At 49.3% G+C, this 18,909-nt stretch overlaps 3 annotated features.

Moving 5' to 3' along the window:
• Positions 6,549 to 7,048: an enhancer, noted in NCBI's record as "H3K4me1 hESC enhancer chr4:7958335-7958834 (GRCh37/hg19 assembly coordinates)". NCBI's record gives its function as "activates a minimal SCP1, AML or CMV promoter by ChIP-STARR-seq in naive H9 embryonic stem cells {active_cell/tissue: H9 hESC(naive)}" and the evidence as "EXISTENCE:reporter gene assay evidence [ECO:0000049][PMID:30033119]".
• Positions 7,049 to 7,550: an enhancer, noted in NCBI's record as "H3K4me1 hESC enhancer chr4:7957833-7958334 (GRCh37/hg19 assembly coordinates)". NCBI's record gives its function as "activates a minimal SCP1, AML or CMV promoter by ChIP-STARR-seq in naive H9 embryonic stem cells {active_cell/tissue: H9 hESC(naive)}" and the evidence as "EXISTENCE:reporter gene assay evidence [ECO:0000049][PMID:30033119]".
• Positions 13,485 to 13,984: an enhancer, noted in NCBI's record as "H3K4me1 hESC enhancer chr4:7951399-7951898 (GRCh37/hg19 assembly coordinates)". NCBI's record gives its function as "activates a minimal SCP1, AML or CMV promoter by ChIP-STARR-seq in naive H9 embryonic stem cells {active_cell/tissue: H9 hESC(naive)}" and the evidence as "EXISTENCE:reporter gene assay evidence [ECO:0000049][PMID:30033119]".

Genomic DNA, 18,909 nt, shown 5'->3' with positions numbered 1-18,909 from the left:
AGTTCTTGCCCTCCAGGCCCATGACGTCTGCCATCTGAATCTCAGAGCCCCAGGTTCTAAGCCGGTTTGGCTCAGTCTTCCATGCCAGTCTTCATGTCTGACGGTGGCACCAACCTTCCCGGATCAGCACCAACCTGGGCCTGTGTGAGGAACTCCCGAGAGAGATGGGCAGGGAGACATCGGTGCCTGCAGGGCCTCCATCCTCAGCCCTTCTCCCCAGGGCAGCTGTGCATTCCAAGCTACTTAAATCTGAACCAAAAGCTTCAGAATTCACTGCAGCCAGGCAAGAGAACGTGACAAATCTCACACGGGTCTTAGTGTTTGGTTCAAAAGTGACACATGTCACCTCTAGTGGTTGGAACTAGTCACATGACCCTGCCCAGCTGCAAAAGGGTCTAGGGAGCACAGGCATTCGTCTGTCTGAGAAGAGGGAGGATGAAAACCGGGAGCAAGCCTTACCAGCTACAGCCGAGGCTACACGGGTATCTTCTCTTCCCCAAGTCCAAGCCCCAGTGCCTTCGGTGGCTCTTGGTGTGAACTCACTTGGAGCCCTCCCCTGCCCTGGCCACCGTCCTCTGTGGGTGAGCCATTCACTTATTCATCCACGCAGATCTGCACGCTGGCTCCAGCCTGGCCCCCATACCCCCCAAGTCTCTGTTATGTTCAGTGCCCCCTCCTGGAGGGCTTTCACCCACACAGCACCATGTTCTCCTCTGTGACCTGCTGTCCCCAGCACAGGTGATCAGATCAAGGATGGCCCCTGAGCCATCGGCAGAGTGGATCCCTAGTGGCCCAGGGCAACAGCTGTGCCCCATGGAGAGACTTTGCTCTATGTGGACATTGATCTACCCGATCCGAAGCCCTCCCAGGGAGGTCATGAAACACTCAGGGAGTTGATGGGGGGGTGGGCAAAGCAGGGAACACTCAGCCAGAAGCCTGAGCCAGCAGAGGCCATGGGTAAAGAGAAGCGGGAGGAGAGATGCTCGCCAGGAGAGGAGGAAGAGGGGGAGCCCAGAGGGCATCAGGGCTGGCAGAGTCTGGTGGACTTTGCTGACCACTTGGGCTGCACTTAAGCCCATCCTGCCTCCCCTCTGGGTTCTTTTTTTTTTTTTTTTTTTTTGAGATGGAATCTCGCTCTGTCGCCCAGGCTGGAGTGCAGTGGCGTGATCTCAGGTCACTGCAAGCTCCACCTCCCAGGTTCACGCCATCCTTCTGCCTCAGCCTCCCAAGTAGCTGGGACTACAGGCACCTGCCACCACGCCCGGCTAATTTTTTGTATTTTTAGTAGAGACGGGGTTTCACCGTGTTAGCCAGGATGGTCTCGATCTCCTGAGCTCATGATCCGCCCACCTCGGCCTCTCAAAGTGCTGGGATTATAGGCGTGAGCCACCGTGCCCGGCCTTTTTTTTTCTTTCTTTCTGAGACAGAGTTTCGCTCTTGTCACACAGGCTGGAGTGCAATGGTGAGATCTTGGCTCACTGCAACCTCTGCCTCCCAGGTTCAAGTGATTCTCTTGCCTGAGCCTCCCAAGTAGCTGGAACTACAGTCTTGAGCCACCATGCCCAGCTAATTTTTTGTATTTTTCATAGAGACGGGGTTTCACCATGTTGGCCAGGCTGGCCTCAAACTCCTGACCTCAGGCGATTCACCCACCTCAGCCTCCCAAAGTGCTGGGATTACAGGTGTGAGCCACCGCACTTGGCCCCCTCTGGGTTCTGAGCTGAGAACCAGCATGAGGAGAGGGATCATGGCCCAGGGAAAGGATCAGTTTCCCTAATGCACCAGTCCCCAAATCCTGAAATGCAGAGCTTCCGGAATGACTGAGTTGGAAGATATTGCTCAGTGTATTTTATTTTATTTTTCGGTTATTAATTTATTTATTTTGAGACAGTCTCACTCTGTTGCCTGGGCTGGAGTGCAGTGGCACGACCTCGGCTCACTGCAAACCTCCTCCTCCCAGGTTCAAGCAATTCTTGTGCCTTAGCCTCCTGAGTAGCTGGGATTACAGGCATGCACCACTACACCCAGGCATTTTTTTCTATTTTTAGAAAAGACGGGGTTTCACTGTGTTGGCCAGGCTGGTCTTGAACCCCTTGCTTCAAGTGATCCTCCTGCCTCGGCCTCCCAAAGTGCTAGGATTACAAGCGTGAGCCACCACGCCCGGCCCCTGCTCAGTGTATTTTAGATCAGAAAAGTTTTCCACTGTGGCCCACCCCCATCCTCGTCCCAAACCTGGACCTAGGTCCTTCCAGGGTCATAGCTGGCCGTGCGGGGTGAAGAAGAGGCAGCTGCATGGGACAAAGTCTGCTTGTGAGCCCAGGGGCATGGGTCTCCAGGCCCACCTCCAGCCCAGGCCTGGGGCCTGGCCCGGGAGCCCCCATGGGAGGTGAAGAAGAGAATCATCACAGCAGGCATTTCTTCCTCTCTGACCACGTGGGGCCTGTTTCCTGAAAAGGCCGTATATGCAAATTGGTCCCCAAATGCAGAGGGAGCCAAGAAACCAAAGAAAGAGGCAGACAAATCCAGTTTCTCAGTAAAGGGTGATTTATGAGGGGGAACTTAACAAACAGAAATGTGGTCTCGGGCAGCCACAAGACAGCAGATCTCTGCACCACAACCGCACAGACCCACAGATTGGAGAAAAAGTATACGTGCTCTGGAAGGAATGTGTAGGTGGCTGCAGGCGTCACAGCCCATCGTGTATGCAACACCAAGGGTTGTTTTGGAGGAAAGGCTGGTGAAGAGGTGTTTCTACATAAAGAGCAATACATCAACTCGACATCTTGGAGGCATTCCCGGACTTGGGTTAGTCAGGAGTCACATGCTGGATTAGGATTTAAAATAAAGTCGCTCTTATCCCCACAGGGTCCTCAGAGAATCCTAGGAGGCCAATCCTTCCTGAGTCCCCACTTTATGAATGAGGAAACTGAGGCACAGAGAGAGGCTATGTAACTTGCTCAGGATTACCCAGCTGTCAACGACTGGGTGAGAGACCCAGTCACTCATGCCACTCCACACCCCACACTCTGGCTTGTGATAAGATGCATCATCTTGCCTGGGAGTGTTTCTGAGCAAGCCTGCCCAGAGGCCAGGAGCAGAGCTTGGTGTGCAGGTCACCTTACAGTGGGCCACCGGCAGCCGGGTATCTTACCAATCAGAGAAGCCCCTCATGTGCCTGGGAGGAGCAGGTGGCAGGTTGGACGGGGGACCAGGGGTGGTCCTGCAAGGCTACCTCCTTCCAAATACCCACCTCCCTCAATAGGTCACCAGGACTGACACTGGACCCCTGGGCTCCAACTGTGTGGACAGGTGGGTCCAACTGTGTGGACAGGACTGTGTGGACAGCACTCCACCGTGCTAGTGAGGGTAACAGCTGGCTGTGTCCTAGATGGTGGAGCCCGGTGTTCCCTGTCGGGGAGGCTGCTTCCTGTCAGCCTTGGTTCTCGAGGCTCCCCAGATGGTCTCCGTCCCCCTGGGAACACTGCGTGTGCTCCATTGCTTCTGGCCATGCCTTTAGCAGGTACACTTCTTTCTGGCCCCGAAGGAAGGCCAGCTGGGTCCCTTCCCTTGTCCCTCCCAAAGCAGCCATCCCTAAGCTGCCTTCATTTTGTGCCTGTGGAGGGCCCTCCCCTACCCTGTTTTTTTTTGGCCTCTCCTTGCTGTGATCCACCTCACTCCCCTTTCTGGGTTCCCAGGCTGCCCCACTGCCTGGAGATGAGACCCATTTTATTTATTTATTTGTTTATTTGAGAGGGAGTCTCACTCTGTCACCAGGCTGGAGTACAGTGGCACAACCTCGGCTCACCGCAATCTCCGAGCCTGGTTCAGGCTCGGAGAATCTCCCTGGTTCAGGCAATTCTCCTGCCTCAGCCTCCTGAGTAGCTGGGATTACAGGCACCCGCCACCATGCCCAGCTAATTTTTGTATTTTTAGTAGAGACAGGGTTTCACCATGTTGGCCAGGATGGTCTCAATCTCCTGACCTCGTGATCCGCCCACCCTCGGCCTCCCAAAGTGCTGGGATTACAGGCGTGAACCACCACGCCCGGCCGGAGACCCATGTATTACTTAAGCTAATGCAATTTACACAAGTTAAAGGTGCATCATTCCAGAATCTGGTCCCCACTGCCCTCCTCCCAACTCCACCTTCCAGAGGGGATGAAGGCTGGGGTCGGGGGAGTAGCCCACCCATTCAAGCAGACTGGCTGGGGTTAGGGCGGGTGCTCTGTGGAGAAGCCTGGGATTCAGCAGTTTCTGTACCACAGAGCCGAGAGGGGCAAGTCCCTAAGCATAAAAGCCCTTCCGAGCAATTAAACGGGAGAGGAAATCAGTGCTTCCCTGGGGTACCAGCAGAGGCTGCCGGGCCTATTGCTGAACTGGGTTTCATAAAGAGAAGAGCTTTCCTTTTCTCATGTCTGAATTGTGAGGCTCATTCCTCAGCCAGACGTCACTTCTGAGAGCTCCATTAGCAAACCCTACCTGCTACCAGCTTCCCCTTCCGCTAACACCCTGAGTCTCTCTCAATTGTAACATTTATATACCATGCCACTCCTTTGCAGGGGCCATGGGGACCCTTCACCCACAGAAGACTCACTGAAAGTCGACAGACAAAGGCAGACTGATAGGGGAAAAGGCATACATGTTTATTCATATGAATGGGGTGGCTGGGAGGAGCAACAGAGTGAGGGGTGCAGAAGCTTTTCTACCCTTTTTCATAGGGGAGGGTGGAGATAAAGAATGTAGGGATTTTTTTTTTTTTTTTTTTTTTTTTTGTGAGACGGAATCTCACTCTGTTGCCCAGGCTGAAGTGCAGTGGCACAATCTCGGCTCACTGCAACCTCCACTTCCTGGGTTCAAGCGATTCTCCTGCCTCAGCCTCCCAAGTAGATGGGATTACAGGCACATGCCACCACGCCGGGCTAATTTTTGTATTTTTAGTAGAGACCGGGTTTCACCATGTTGTTCAGGCTGGTCTCGAACTCCTGACCTCAGGTGATCCCCTCCCACCCCCCACCCTCGGCCTCCCAAAGTGCTGGGATTACAGGCGTGAGTCACCGTGCCTGGCCTGTAGGGGATTTTTAGAGGAGCAGTACTTGAATATGAGGGAGAATAAAATCAACTTGTAAATGATTCTCCTATTTGTATAGTGCTGAGTATCCCCACCTGTTAAAACAATTAAAATAAAAGACACTAACTTGTAAAGGGTTCTCTTTGGAATTTGAATGGGCCTGAGAGGCAAACATTATCTTGTGGAGCAAAATATAAGCTCTCAAAGAAAGGAAAGATAGTTGATGTTTTTATACCATCTTGAAGTTACAGAAAAAATAAGGGCTTGGATCTCAGCAAAAGAGGTTATGGAAGGGAAGAGGAGGAAACCTTGCAGGTAGCAGTCCTCAGGATAGATGGGAAATGTTTCTTTCAGGCTCTAAAGGCGTCCGACTTAGTTAACCTTTCCTAGATCCGGACCAAGGAAGGCCTCAGAGAAAGCTGGACTGCATCAATGCAGGTTTCCCTACAGATGCAAATCTCCCCAACAAAAGATAGTTTTCTGGCTGGGCGTGGTGGCTCACACCTGTAATCCCAGCACTTTGGGAGGCCGAGGCAGGCTAGATCACGAGGTCAGTAGTTGAAGACCACCCTGGCCAACATGGTGAAACCCCGTCTCTACTAAAAATACAAAAATTAGCTGGATGTGGTGGCGGTCACCTGTAATCCCAGCTACTTGGGAGGCTGAGGCAGGAGAATCACTTGAACCCAAGAGGCTGAGGTTGCAGTGAGCCGAGATCATGCCATTGCACTCCAGCTCTGGGCAACAGAGCAACACTCTGTCTGAAAAAAAAAGTTTTCTGGCTATTCTTACAGCTCCATCCCTTCCAAATAGCAATCTTGAAATGTGTCAAAGATGTATATTTTGGGGTGAAATATCTCGGTTTCTTTCACCCTCCAGTCTATCGTCTGCTCAGCAGCCCACAGCAATATGTATTGCAGACTTGATTGGCACTACTGGGGGCACTTCACGAATTTCTTCCCTGCTGAGGCCCCAGCTCCTTCACCGGCCATCATCTGGCCACTGCCTCCCTCTCCAGCCTCTTCCTGGCCCTTCCCTCTTGCACCCTTCCTTGCTGAGCAGCACCGTCTCACCTGCTTTTCAAACACCATGTCCTTTGCAAAGGCTCTTCCCTCTGCCTGGAATGCCCCCTCTGGCAAATTCCTATTCATCCTTCAGTACCCAGCTGAGACACAACTCCCCCTCCCACAACTGTTATACCCAAATAATCTGGTTGCGAAACTAAATAATTCAAATTTAAGATAATTTGAATTTACGGCTGTTGGAACTTAAATTTTCCTAAGCCTCGAAGAAATGTGACTATGCAGCCTGCGTCATGCTCATGCAGCTGCACCTTTTACCCTTTTTTTTCTGTAAATAATTACGACCAAATGGCGCCAGAGATAAGACCTCCCTCAGATCACTACCCCTCCTTACAGAGTAATAAAGTAATCTTGCTGGGAATGTAGCAACTTGTAACCAACTAAATCACTGTGGCATATGCACCTGGTCTTGCATGGAAAATGCTGTAACCCTACTGGAACTTCTCCGTCTCTGGAAGTGACAGATTTCACTCTGGAAGTGAAATCTTAACTCCTCCACTTTGGAAACATTGACTCCATTCATCTAGAGTCGGTGCCTTCCTGGGTGGCCATACCCAAGCTTTGTGCTCAAATAAACTCTGTACTTGATCGTATTTTCTGAATCTCATTATTTAAGGTTGACACAATTCATCAACAAATATTTACTGAACTGAGTGCTAATAATGCAGATCAATAAGCCACCATCCCTGACCTCAAGGACTGATCACAGACTGGTGGAGGAGACATCCAAGGAGCAGACACCAGCGCGACAGGGCAGCCGGTGCTGGTGTAGACAGAGCTGGTGTGGAAAGACCCTCGTCAGGAGGGAAGCCGGGTGTCTGGGAGGAGTCCAGCACCAAGTTCCAATGGAGCCTCATCCAAAGGGGCAAGCAGGGGTCAGCCAGCCAAGGCCCCAGCCAGGAAGGGATGGGAAGGGGCCTTCCAGGCAGAGGAAATGGCACAGGCAAAGGCCTCAGGACAGGAAGTTTCATGGCCCATCCAGGAGCCATGCCAGAGTGGCCGGAGGGTGAGTCAGTCCCTCCTCAGGGCTCCACAATGCCCTGATTGTGCCTGATTAGGACATTTTCTGTATCAGCTCAGAATTCCCTGTACACACCACCATGCCTGCAGCCCCAGGGCACTCAACATTGCTGTGTGTCCTATAGGCTTCTCATGCAGACATCTGCGTCTCCAGCTGTGGGATCTTGCTCAACCTGCATGTAGGGCAGGCCTGGAGTACCAGGGAGGTAGCACGTTCCAGAATAGGTCTCAGCTAATGAACTCCTAGACTCAAGAGTTCCTCTCAACTCAGCCTGCTGAGCACACACCATCATGCTGGCTAATGTTTTTATTTATTTTTTATTTTTATTTTTATTTTTTGAGACGGAGTCTTGCTCTCTTGCCCAGGCTAGAGTGCAGTGGCATGATCTCGGCTCACTGCAACCTCCGTCTCCTGGGTTCAAGCAATTCTCCTGCCTCAGCCTCTAGAGTAGCTGGGATTACAGGCCCCTGCCACCACGCCCAGCTAATTTTTGTATTTTTAGTAGAAACAGAGTTTCACCATATTGGCCAGGCTAGTCATGAACTCCTGACCTCTGGCGATCCACCCGCCTCGGCCTCCCAAAGTGCTGGGATTAGAGGTATAAGCCACCATGCCCGGCCTATTTTTATTCTTGTAGAGACAAGGTTTTGCTATGTTGCTCAGGCTGGTCTGGAACCCCTGGCCTGAAGCAATCTTCCCACCTCAGCCTCCCAAAATGTTGGGATTACAGGCGTGAGCCACTGTGCCCAGCCAACACTCTTTCTTATATTCCTGACGATAACCCACCTTGTTCTTCCACCCGTCTCCAGTCTTATCTCTGGTTCAACAGTACAGCTCAAGTGCAATTTTAAATAGAGGTGATGTTGATGGGTTTCAGTAGGAATCCTTCTACAAGTCCCTGCCTAAAGTCTAATGCTGGCTTGGCTTTGCTTTTTTTTTTTTTTTTTTTTTTGCAGAGTCTCACTCTGTCACCCAGGTGAGAGTACAGTGGCATGATCTTGGCTCACTGCAACCTCTGGCTCCCATGTAAAGTGATTTTCGTGTCTCAGCCTCTTGAGTAGCTGGGATAACAGGCCTGCACCACCATGTCTGGCTTTTTTTTTTTTTTTTTTTGTATTTTTAGTAGAGACAGGGTTTCACTACGTTGGCCAGGCTGATCTCAAACTCCTGGCCTCAAGTGATCCACCCGCCTCAGCCTCCCAAAGTGCTGGTATTACAAGTGTGGACCACTGTGCCCAAACTGATGCTGGCTTTTGAGTGCTATATTGTACCAGGCTAGGGGAACATTCATGTGCATCCAGTTCTATTTTATTGATTTTTTTTTTTTTTTTTTTTTTTACAAAGTCTCGCTCTGTTGCCCAGGCTGGAGTGCAGTGGCACGATCTTGGCTTACCGCAACCTCCACCTCCTGGGTTCAAGTAATTTTCTTGCCTCAGCCTCCTGAGTAGCTGGGATTACAGGTGCACACCACCACACTTGGCTAATTTTTGTTTATTTTAGTAGAGACAGGGTTTCGCCATGTTGGCCAGGCTGGTCTCAAACTCCTGACCTCAAATGATCCACCTGCCTCAGCCTCCCCAAGTGCTGGGAGTATAGGCATGAGCCACCATGCCCAGCCTTATTGAATTTTTTTAAACATCAATAATGAATATTGAACTTTTGGATATGATTGCATGATTTTTCTCCTTGAAAGACCTGTTACTATGATCTAATATATTAATAAATTTTCTTTTCTTTGTTTATGTTTTTGAATCAGGGTCTTACTGTGTGTCACCCAGCCTTTACTGCAGTGGTGCAATCATCATAGCACATTGTAACCTCAAACTTCTGGGTTCAAGAGGTCCTCCCAACTCAGTCTCCCAAGTAACTAGGACTGCAGGTGCATGCCACCACACTCAGCTATTTTTTAAAAAGTATTTTTGTAGAGTCAGGGTCTTGCTATGTTGCCCAGGCTGGTCTTGAACTCCTGGCCACAAGCGATTCTGCCTCTGCCTCCCAAAGCACTGGCATTACAGGTGTGAGCCACTGTGCCCAGCCTGAATTTACTAATATTGAGCCATCTTTGCATTCCTGGTATAAACTACCTGGTCAGAGTTTATTGGTTTTTTTTAATCATTATAGGCTGGGTGTGGTGGCTCACACCTGTAATCCCAGGACTTTGGAAGGCTGAGATGGGCGCATCATCTGAGGTCAGGAGTTCAAGACCAGCCTGACCAACATGGAGAAATCCCGTCTCTACTAAAAATACAAAATTAGCCAAGCGTGGTGGCGCATGCCTATAATCCCAGCTACTTGGGAGGCTGAGGCAGGAGAATCGCTTGAACCTGGGAGGGGGAGGGTGCAGTGAGCTGAGATTGCACCATTGCACTCCATCCTGGGCAACAAAAGTGAAACCCCATCTCAAAAAAATATTATTATTATAGAATATAATAATAGATACAATAATCGAGTATCTTATTAGATTTTTTTTTGATGTCCTGTTGAATTCTCTTTGTTGATGTTTTATCGAAGAGTTTTACTTTAACAACCATAGGCAAGATTGGTGTATAGTAAAATGTTTTTCACAGAAGTCTCTAGAGGAAGTGCCTATATTATCTACACATTTTTGGGAAATCATGAAACTCTGCAAAAAAATATGGGAAGTGGAATTATATAAATAAACTCAACATACACATATTGCTGAAATTAGAAAAACAGAGACATTGTCTTTCATTGTTCTAGATAGCATTTAAGCAGGATATGTTTTTTGCCAGTACTTAAAGGAGTCCCATTGAAATCAATGGGAGTTTCACATAAAATATAATTAAAGGAAAACAATATGTACAGAGAATTAGAATCTGAAGAGAACCAGAAGTGGAAATGTTGCCTTAAGGAAATTGTTTTGCAGAAGGCAAAAAAAAAAAAAAAAAAAATTCTCTTGAGATGAGGCATCTAAAAGCTAAGTAAGCCTTACCATTTTCTTTTTTAATTTTTCCTTTTTTTTTTTTTTTGAGACAGACTCTTGCTCTGTCACCCAGGTTGGAGTGCAGTGGCACAATCTCAGCTGACTGCAACCTCCACTTCCTGGGTTCAAGTGATTCTCCTGCCTCAGCCTCCCGAGTAGCTGGGATTACAGGCGCCTACCACCACACCTGGCTAATTTTTGTATTTTTAGTAGAGACGTGATTTTACCATGTTGGCCAGGTTGGTCTCGAACTCCTGACCTCAGGTGATCCGCCCGCCTCGGCCTCTCAAAGTGCTAGGATTACAGGCATGAGCCGCCACACCCAGCCACCTTACCACTTTCAATCAAGGCCTACCCATATTTCATTTATCAGAAGTATTCACCCTCCTCTTCTTTCTCCTCCTCCTCCTCATCTTTATGTATCAGCAACTACCATTAATTCAGTGCTTGCTCTGTGCCAGAAACCAGGCTAGGTATTTTACAGCATTGTACAGTTCAATTCCCAGAATAGCTTTGTAAGACAGGTATTATTATCTCTACTTTACAGATGAGGAGACTGAGGCTCAGCAAAGCTAAGTAAACAGCCTGAGATCATGCAGCTAGTACGTGGCAGATCTGGGATTCAAAGCAAAGAGTCTTTGATGCCAACAGCCATGTTTTTAAGCTCTATAGTCACCGTGTTTGAGAATGGGCCACATGTCAGGCCCAGTACTGGGAGTTTTTGTGACTCATCACGTAACAGAACCAGCACACGCATTCCATTTTACATACGAGCAAACGGAGGCTCAGAGACACAAGGCAACGTCTGCAGTTGTAGAGTTGGTGAATGGCGGCATGGGATTTAAGCCCAGGATCATGGAGCTCTAAGCCCACACATTCTCCAGTTCCTGGGACCCTCCTCCTCTCCATCTTCCTCACACGGGGCCACATTCTGCAGCCCTGGATGATGCTCATTGTGCAGCCATTTTTTTTCAGTAAAGAGCTCTAAAGGAAGCTAGTTGCTAGCACAGGTGCTGTATGAATCATTTTCTTTCTTTTTTTTTTTTTTGAGATGGATTCTCACTCTGTCACTCAGGCTGGTGGAGTGTGTAGTGGGGCGGTCTCGGCTCGTCGCAACCTCCACCTCCCAGGTTCAAGCAATTCTCTGCCTCAGCCTCCTGGGTAGCTGGAATTACAGGGGCATGCCCAACTAATTTTTGTATTTTTACTAGAGACAGGGTTTTCCCATGTTGGACAGGCTGGTCTCGAACTCCTGACCTCAGGTGATCCTCAGGTGATCCTCAGGTGGCATCCCAAAGGGCTGGGATTACAGGCATGAGCCACCGTGCCTGGCCTCATTGTCTTGTGTCAAGATGCACAGCTCACCTATCACTGCCAAAAGATAAACATTGAATGAATGGATGGATGGATGGATGGATGGATGGATGGATGGATGGATGAATGGAAGGATAGATGGATGGAGAGCTTAATTAAAATAATCATATTCATCACAGACCAGACTGGGAGCAGTGCCTGTGGTATAGGAGGCCTTAGAAATCATCCAGTCCCATGTCCCGACTCTGCAGGAGGAAAACCTAAGGCCAAAGGAAGCAGAGAGAGACTACTCCAGCCCCAAGCCCAGGAAGGAGCCCTAATGCCACCTCCCAGGTTTTCTAAGCTGGTTCAGACCCCATGTGAGAACTTAAATGCATGAGTCCTTGTGCAGAGGACCCAAATTTTTTTAAACAAGATATTGGTGTGAGCTGTGAGCTGTTCTGGAAGGAAATATCATTAGGGTTTTGGGGGCAGGAGTTCCACACCTGCATTTTGTCACTGTTAGGCTGGCTAGTCAGAATGCCATGTATGTACCAACCCTACGACCTCAGAAAAGCCAGTAGTGAAATAGGGTTTGATGGCTTTGATTGAACTGGTTTAATCCACTTATTGGGTAATAGTGTGTGAAATTCTGAAGGATTTGGTGAGAACACTGAGGTGTTATTTCCCGCAGCCAGCCCCTCTCCCAGCTCCAAGCTGACCCAGACATGAACCAGGCCCCCTGTATTAGTACGTTTTCATGCTGCTGATAAAGACGTTCCCAAGACCGGACAATTTACAAAAGAAAGAAGTTTATTGGACTTACAGTTCCACATGGCTGGGGAGACCTCACAATCATGAAGGAAAGTGAAAGGCACATCTCACATGGCAGCAGACAAGAGAAGAGAACTTGTGCAGGGAAACTCCTGTTTTTAAAACCATCAGATCTCGTGAGACTTATTAACTATCAATCATGAGAATAGCATGGGAAAGACCTGCCCCCATGATTCAGTTACCTCCCACTGGGTCCCTCCGACAACACATGAGAATGATGGGAGCTACAACATGAGATTTGAGTGGGGACACAGAGCCAAACCATATCACCCCCCTTTTATGTACTAGAACCCTCCCAGTATGGCTCACGAAAGTCAGGCCTGTGACGGCCTAGAGGAGGAGGTTACCACACAGCTGGGAGAGCACAAGACTGATCTTTAGATATCCTTGTTCTCAAAATGCCCCAGGCAATTCCCACCAGGGAACTGTCCCGCAAGCCCCTTCCTCTTCCTCCCTGCTCCCCACCCTTCCCCTTGTCCTCTGCTCCCTGTGTTGCTCCCCATCCCTGGCGGCCGGCATGTCCCTCCAGAGTAGCTCCGCTGTCTATCTGCTTCTCTGCCCCAGCCCATCCTCCTGTAATCGGAGAGGCTTCCCCATCAAAGGCGTCCTTCAAGGCAGCTTCCCAGACCTAGACAGGTGCTTTCCTCAAGGAAAGGACTTTTGAGATTTGTTCTTGAAGGATGACTAGCATCCCTCTTCCTTTGCTCTGGGCTGTCCTGAGGAGGATGGGTTGGAGGGGCCAGGTCTGGAGACGGGGAGACTGAGGGATGCTTCTGTCATACCTCTGTGGAGAGAAGCAAAGGCCTAGAGAAGTGCCAAGGGCTGGGGAGGAGGACGCAGATCCAGAGGACAGATTCACCCGGCCTCACAGTGATGTGGAACGGGGACAGGGAGGGGGCCGAGGGCTGGGGAGGAGGACATGGATCCAGAGGACAGATTCACCCGGCCTCACAGTGATGTGGAATGGGGACAGGGAGGGGGCCGAGGGCTGGGGAGGAGGACGTGGATCCAGAGGACAGATTCACCCGGCCTCACAGTGATGTGGAACGGGGACAGGGAGCGGGAGGGGTGCAGCCTCCCTCTGCACCCCTGAATATTGTTTCCAATCAAATAACAAATATTCACTGGGCCCTGCCTTCTGGTGTGAGCAAGGGGATGGATGGTGGGGCTGTTTAGAGAGCCGGAACCCAGGAAGAGTAGCCTGGGGTGGGCGGAAGGAGATGTGTTCTGTCTGCTGGGTGTTGTGTTTGATGTACCCGCCCATGTCTGCCCAGGTGGAGGTCCCCAAGAGAGACTGAGCCACAGGCTGGAGGCCCAATAGACAGGGGTGGGTGGGCACAGCTGCCTGGGAGGGATGGCCAGTGTCATCACCTGTGTGAGATTGCTCAGGGAGACAGAGCTCAGCAAGCAGAGCTGAGGGCCTGGAGCAGCTTAGAGGAATGCAGGGCCTTTCTGAGCTTCGTGGAGGATGGGCAGAGGCCTGAGGAGGAAGCTCAAGAGGGCATATGGCACAACAGAGGGCAAGGGAGTCGCAGGTGTGAAAAGGAGGGACCCAGAGAGCAATGGTGAGGTGAGATCAAGCCAGCTAGGACCAAAGTGTGTCCTTTGGATTTCGTCCTAAAGAGTTTCAGTGACCTTGGCAAGGAGAGTTTTGTCAAGTGGAGTGGCAGAACCCAGGCAGAAGAGATGGAGGATCCGGGGCTACAGAAGAGCCCACCAGGGCATACATGCCTGCATCGGGGTGAGTGGAGAGGCTGGGGCAGCTGACGGGGGCAGAGGGGAGGCGGAGGGCCTGTTCATATGGGTGATGCGTGGCTGATGTAGAATCTTGTAATGAGAGAGACCTGAGCACACAAGTACCAAGGGGAAAGAGGAAGAGGAAGGATGGAGAGAGGGAAGGCAGGAGGAAGAAGAGGAAGAAAAACCAGCAAGTGCTTAGAGCCTGAGGGCATAGTCCCGCCAGGCACTATTGTGAAGACTTAGACCTCTAGACAGCCGCATAAGATTGATTGATTAATTCAACACAGAACTGCTGAGTGCCTGCCAGGTGCCAGGCACTCCTCCAGAATCTTCAGATATGACAGCGAATAAGACAGATAAAACCCTGGAGCTTCTATCCAGGGTGTGGGGAGCAGACAGACGATCCCTGTGCAGGATGCAAGCTATGGAAAAACATTCAGGATAAGGGAGAGAGTGACGAGAGGTGCTGTTTAACACACGGTGGTCAGTGAAAGTGACAACCAAGTCAAACCTGGGGAGGGGAAGTCCCTCCTTCCATGATAACAGGGAAGGGAGTTGGAAAGGATGGCTGGGAGGCTGGTGAGTTTGCAGCATAGAAATACTCAGCATACAATCATTTTAACCCCCAACTGTTTCCAATCAAATGAGAAACATTCATGGAGTGTACTATGGAGCCAGGCACCTCGTGGGTGCCAGCCAGGAAGATAAGGATGAGTCTCTGCCCTGGATGAGTTCCCTGTTGCATGGGAGAGACAGATCTAGAAACAGACTGTGATCGTATGGGGTGTTAAGTATGATAAGATAGGGCAGCTGTGAGATGGTGGAGAGGCAGAGATGCCCTCCTGAGGAGCTGGGACAGCTTTGGGGAAGAGGTGACATTTGAACTGGGTCTTGAAGAATGGGTAGGAGTTTGCTTGCCAGAAAAAAGCAAAAGCTTGGCTGGGTGTGGTGGCTCATGCCTGTAATCCCAGCACTTTGGGAGGCCGAGGCAGGGAGATCACTTGAGGTCGGAAGTTCAAGACTAGCCTGGCCAACATGGTGAAACCCCTGTCTCTACTAAAAATACAACAGTTAGCCAGGCATGGTGGCAGGTGCCTGTAGTCCCAGCTACTTGGGAGGCTGGAGCAAGGGAAATGGGAATCACTTGAATCTGGGAGGGGGAGCTTGCAGTGAGCCCTTATCGCCACTGCACCCCAACCTGAGTGACACAGCGAGATTCCGTCTCAAAAAAAACCCCAAAAAACCAAAACCAAAAACTTACGTCTATGAGGTGACTACTATGTGATAGGCAATTTACCTATACAATGTCATTTAATTCTAAGAAAACTCCGGCATGGCAGGTATTATACATATTTTACTGATGTAGCTGCTGAGGCTCAGAGAAGCAAAGAGACGCTCAAGGTCATAGAGGTGTTACAGCTAGGTTCCAAAACACGATTGTTTTTACTCTCAAACTTATGCCAAGACACCACACCACCATAATAACCTGATAGACCAGAGTTTGCCACGAAGTAGTGCAAAATTTGTGAGCTGCTTGGGGCCAGCCAGGAAGTGGCTCTTTTCATATTACGTCATGTGCACAAAGGGGACTGAAGACAGTGTGTGTGAGTGATAGTAGAGATTGTAGATTTTGCAGATGGATTGACAAGGGTTTTTTCTTTCTATTTCAACATGACAAGACTGTTGTTATTCCATTACCTTTGGCTTCCATTATTTCTTTTCTTTCTTTCTTTTTTTTTTTTTTTTTTCAGATGGAGTCTTGCTCTGTCACCCAGGCTGGAATGCAATGGCACGATCTTGGCTCACTGCAACCTCTGCCTCCCGGGTTCAAGCGATTCTTGTGCCTCAGCCTCCCGAATAGCTGGGATTACAGGCATGCACCACCACGCCCGGCTAATTTTTGTATTTTTAGTAGAGAGGGGGTTTCGCCATGTTGGCCAGGCTGGTCTTGAACTCCTGACCTCTGGTGATCTGCCTGCCCTGGCCTCCCAAAGTGTTAGGATTACAGGTATGAGCCACTGTGCCCAGCCGGCTTCCATTATTTCTACTGAGAAATCCCTTGTATTTCCTTTGGTTATCACCTAGAATGATGTGATGTTTGTTTCCTATGGCTGCTTTTAAGATTTTTTTTTTTTTTTTGACATGGAGTCTCACTCTGTTGCCCAGACTGGGAGTGCAGTGGCGTGATCTCAGCTCACTGCAACCTCTGTCTCCCAGCTTCAAGCGATTCTCCTGCCTCAGCCTTCTGAGTAGCTGGGATTACAGGCATATGCCATGACACCAGGGTAATTTTTGTATTTTTAGTAGAGACGGGGTTTCATCATGTTGGTCAGGCTGGTCTCGAACTCCTGACCTCGTGATCCACCTGCCTCAGCCTCCTAAAATGCTGGAATTGCAGGCATGAGCCATCCAGCCTGGCTGATTTTTTTTATTTTTTATTTTTTATTTTCATTTTTACTTTTTGAGACAGGGTCTGGCTCTGTAGCCCAGGCTGGAACGCATTCACGCAGTGTCAGCTCACTGCAACCTCTGCCTCCTGGGGCTCAAGCCATCCTCCCATCTCAGCCTTTCGCGTAGCTGGGACCACAGGCACTTGCCACAGTGCCTGGCTGATTTTTGTAATTTTTTGTAGAGATGGGATTTCACCGTGTTGCCAAGGGTGGTCTTGAACTCCTGAGCTCAAACGATCTGCTCGCCTTGGCCTCCCAAAGTGCTGGGATTACAGGCGTGAGCCACCATGTCAAGCCAAGATTTTTTTTTTACACACTGGTTTTCAGCAGCTGTGGCAGGCAGCCCCTGCGATGATCCCCACTCCCCGGTATTTTTGCCCTTGCGTGGTCTTCTTCCCTTGAGTGTGGGCTGGACCTACTGACTTACTTCTAAGGAACAGAAGACAGCAAAAGTGATGGAATGTCACTTTCAGTACTGGGTTATAAGAAGACAATGGTTTCCATCTCAGGCGCTTTCTCTTGCTGCCCCACCTGCTTGTGCTGAGGGGAGGTGGGCTGCCTTCTTGTGTTACCCTATGTAGGGTTCATGCAGTAAGGAACTGATAGAGTTTGGATGTGTGTTCCCACTCTTATCTCATATTGAAATACAATCCCTAGTGTTGGATGTGGAGTTCTGGTGAAGGTGATTGGCTTATGGGGGGAGTGGATTTCTCATGAATGGTTTAGCACTAACTCCCTGGGTACTGTCGTGATATGGAGTGAGTTCTCGTGAAATCCGGTCATTTAAAAGGGTGCAGTGCCTCTCCCCTCATCCTTCTGCTCCTGCTTTCATCCTGTGATGTGACTGCTCCCCCTTTACCTACCACCATAATTGGAAGCCGCCTAAGCTCTCCCCAAAAGCAGATGCTGCTTTGCTTCCTGTACAGACTGCAGAGCTAGGAGCCAATTAAACCTCTTCTCTTGGAAGTGACCCCGCATCAGTTATTTCTTCCTAGCAATGCGAGATTGGAGTAATCCAGCAATGGAAGAAGGCCAGCAGCTGGTGAGAAAATATGGCCTGCGTACAGCCACGCGAATGAGCTTGGAAACATTCCTCTGAGTCCAGACTTTTCATGGGACCGCATCCCCAGCTCATGGATTGATTGCAGCCTTGGGAGAAATCTTAAGCCACAGGCACCCGGTTAAGCTTCTGATCCACAGAAACTATGAGATAATAAATGTGAGTTGTTTTAAGCCTTTAGGTGGGGTGGGGCAATAAAAGTTCGCAAGGCTGCTGCATGCATTATCGATACTAACGCAATTATTGATAACTGTGGTTATTGATTAGTTATCGATAATGCATGCAGCAGCCTTGCGAGCTCTGATTGCACTGGCAAACTGACAGCACATCCTAAACTGGGCCCAGAATCTCCACCAGGTGCCCAGGTGCCAAAGGCGAGCTTTGCTCCCTCAAAAAGGACTGCAACAAAGGTGTCATGGAAATGAAGCTTTCTTTGGCATATAAATAGTTTGTGATTATTTTTTTTCCTCAACAGATGTGTTAATGGAAAAGCCTGGGAAGAAGTCTCCAGTTGGTCACTCATTCCAGCAACTAGTCCTTCATAGTATCAAACTAGGTCAGGAGTTTCCATGAACTGGGTTGGTCCAACTCTTGGATCAATAAACCCTGATTTGTTTTTCCAGAGAACAAAAACTCTCTTTACATCAGAAGGGCTACGGTGGAAAAGAAGGGTTTGACTTATTTTCTGAGGTCCCAAGAGATCAGAAAATTTCAGTTTCAGCTGGGCATGGTAGCTCACACCTATAATCCCAACACTTTGGGAGGCTGAGGCAGGAGGATTGCTTGAGCTCAGGAGTTTGAGGCCAGCCTGGGCAACATGGCAAGACCCTATCTCTACAAAAAAATAAAAACAAAAAAAAATTAACCGGGCTTGGTGGCAGGCACCTGTAGTCCCAGCTACTCAGGAGGCTAAGGTAGGAATATTGCTTGAGCCTGGGAGATCAAGGCTGCAGCGATCCATATTCATACCACTGCACTCCAGCCTGAGCAACACAGTGAGACCTTGTCTCAAAAAAAAAAAAAAAAAAGACAGAAAAAGAAAATGTCAGTTTCATAAGCGGAAAAATTTCCTGCTAATCAGAGCTGTCATACTGTGCCTGGACTGGTTCATTGGGTGGTTAGCTTCTTGCTAGTAGACATAGGCCTGGATGTCTCAGCAGGAATGTTGTGAGAAGTTTCCAAGTATGTGTTCAAGAATCAGGCCGAGTTTATTCATTTACTAATTCAACAAATATTAATTCTACATGCTTCAGTTACAGAATCCTGTAAGTGTAGAATTTATGACCAGAGGCTTCGATAAAAAGGGATTTGTTTTTTCTACCTAACAGAGAATCTGGGGGTAGGTGATTGCTGGTGTTGTTTCACTGGGTCAATAGTGCAAGGTTCAGTATCTCTCTGATTCTCTTGCCTGTAGTGTA

The sequence above is a fragment of the Homo sapiens genome, chromosome 4 (genome assembly GCF_000001405.40).
Source record: "Homo sapiens chromosome 4, GRCh38.p14 Primary Assembly".
Classification (NCBI taxonomy): domain Eukaryota; kingdom Metazoa; phylum Chordata; class Mammalia; order Primates; family Hominidae; genus Homo; species Homo sapiens.
The sequence above is the reverse complement of the archived record's forward strand: the minus strand, read 5'-3'. Positions and strand labels throughout refer to the sequence as shown.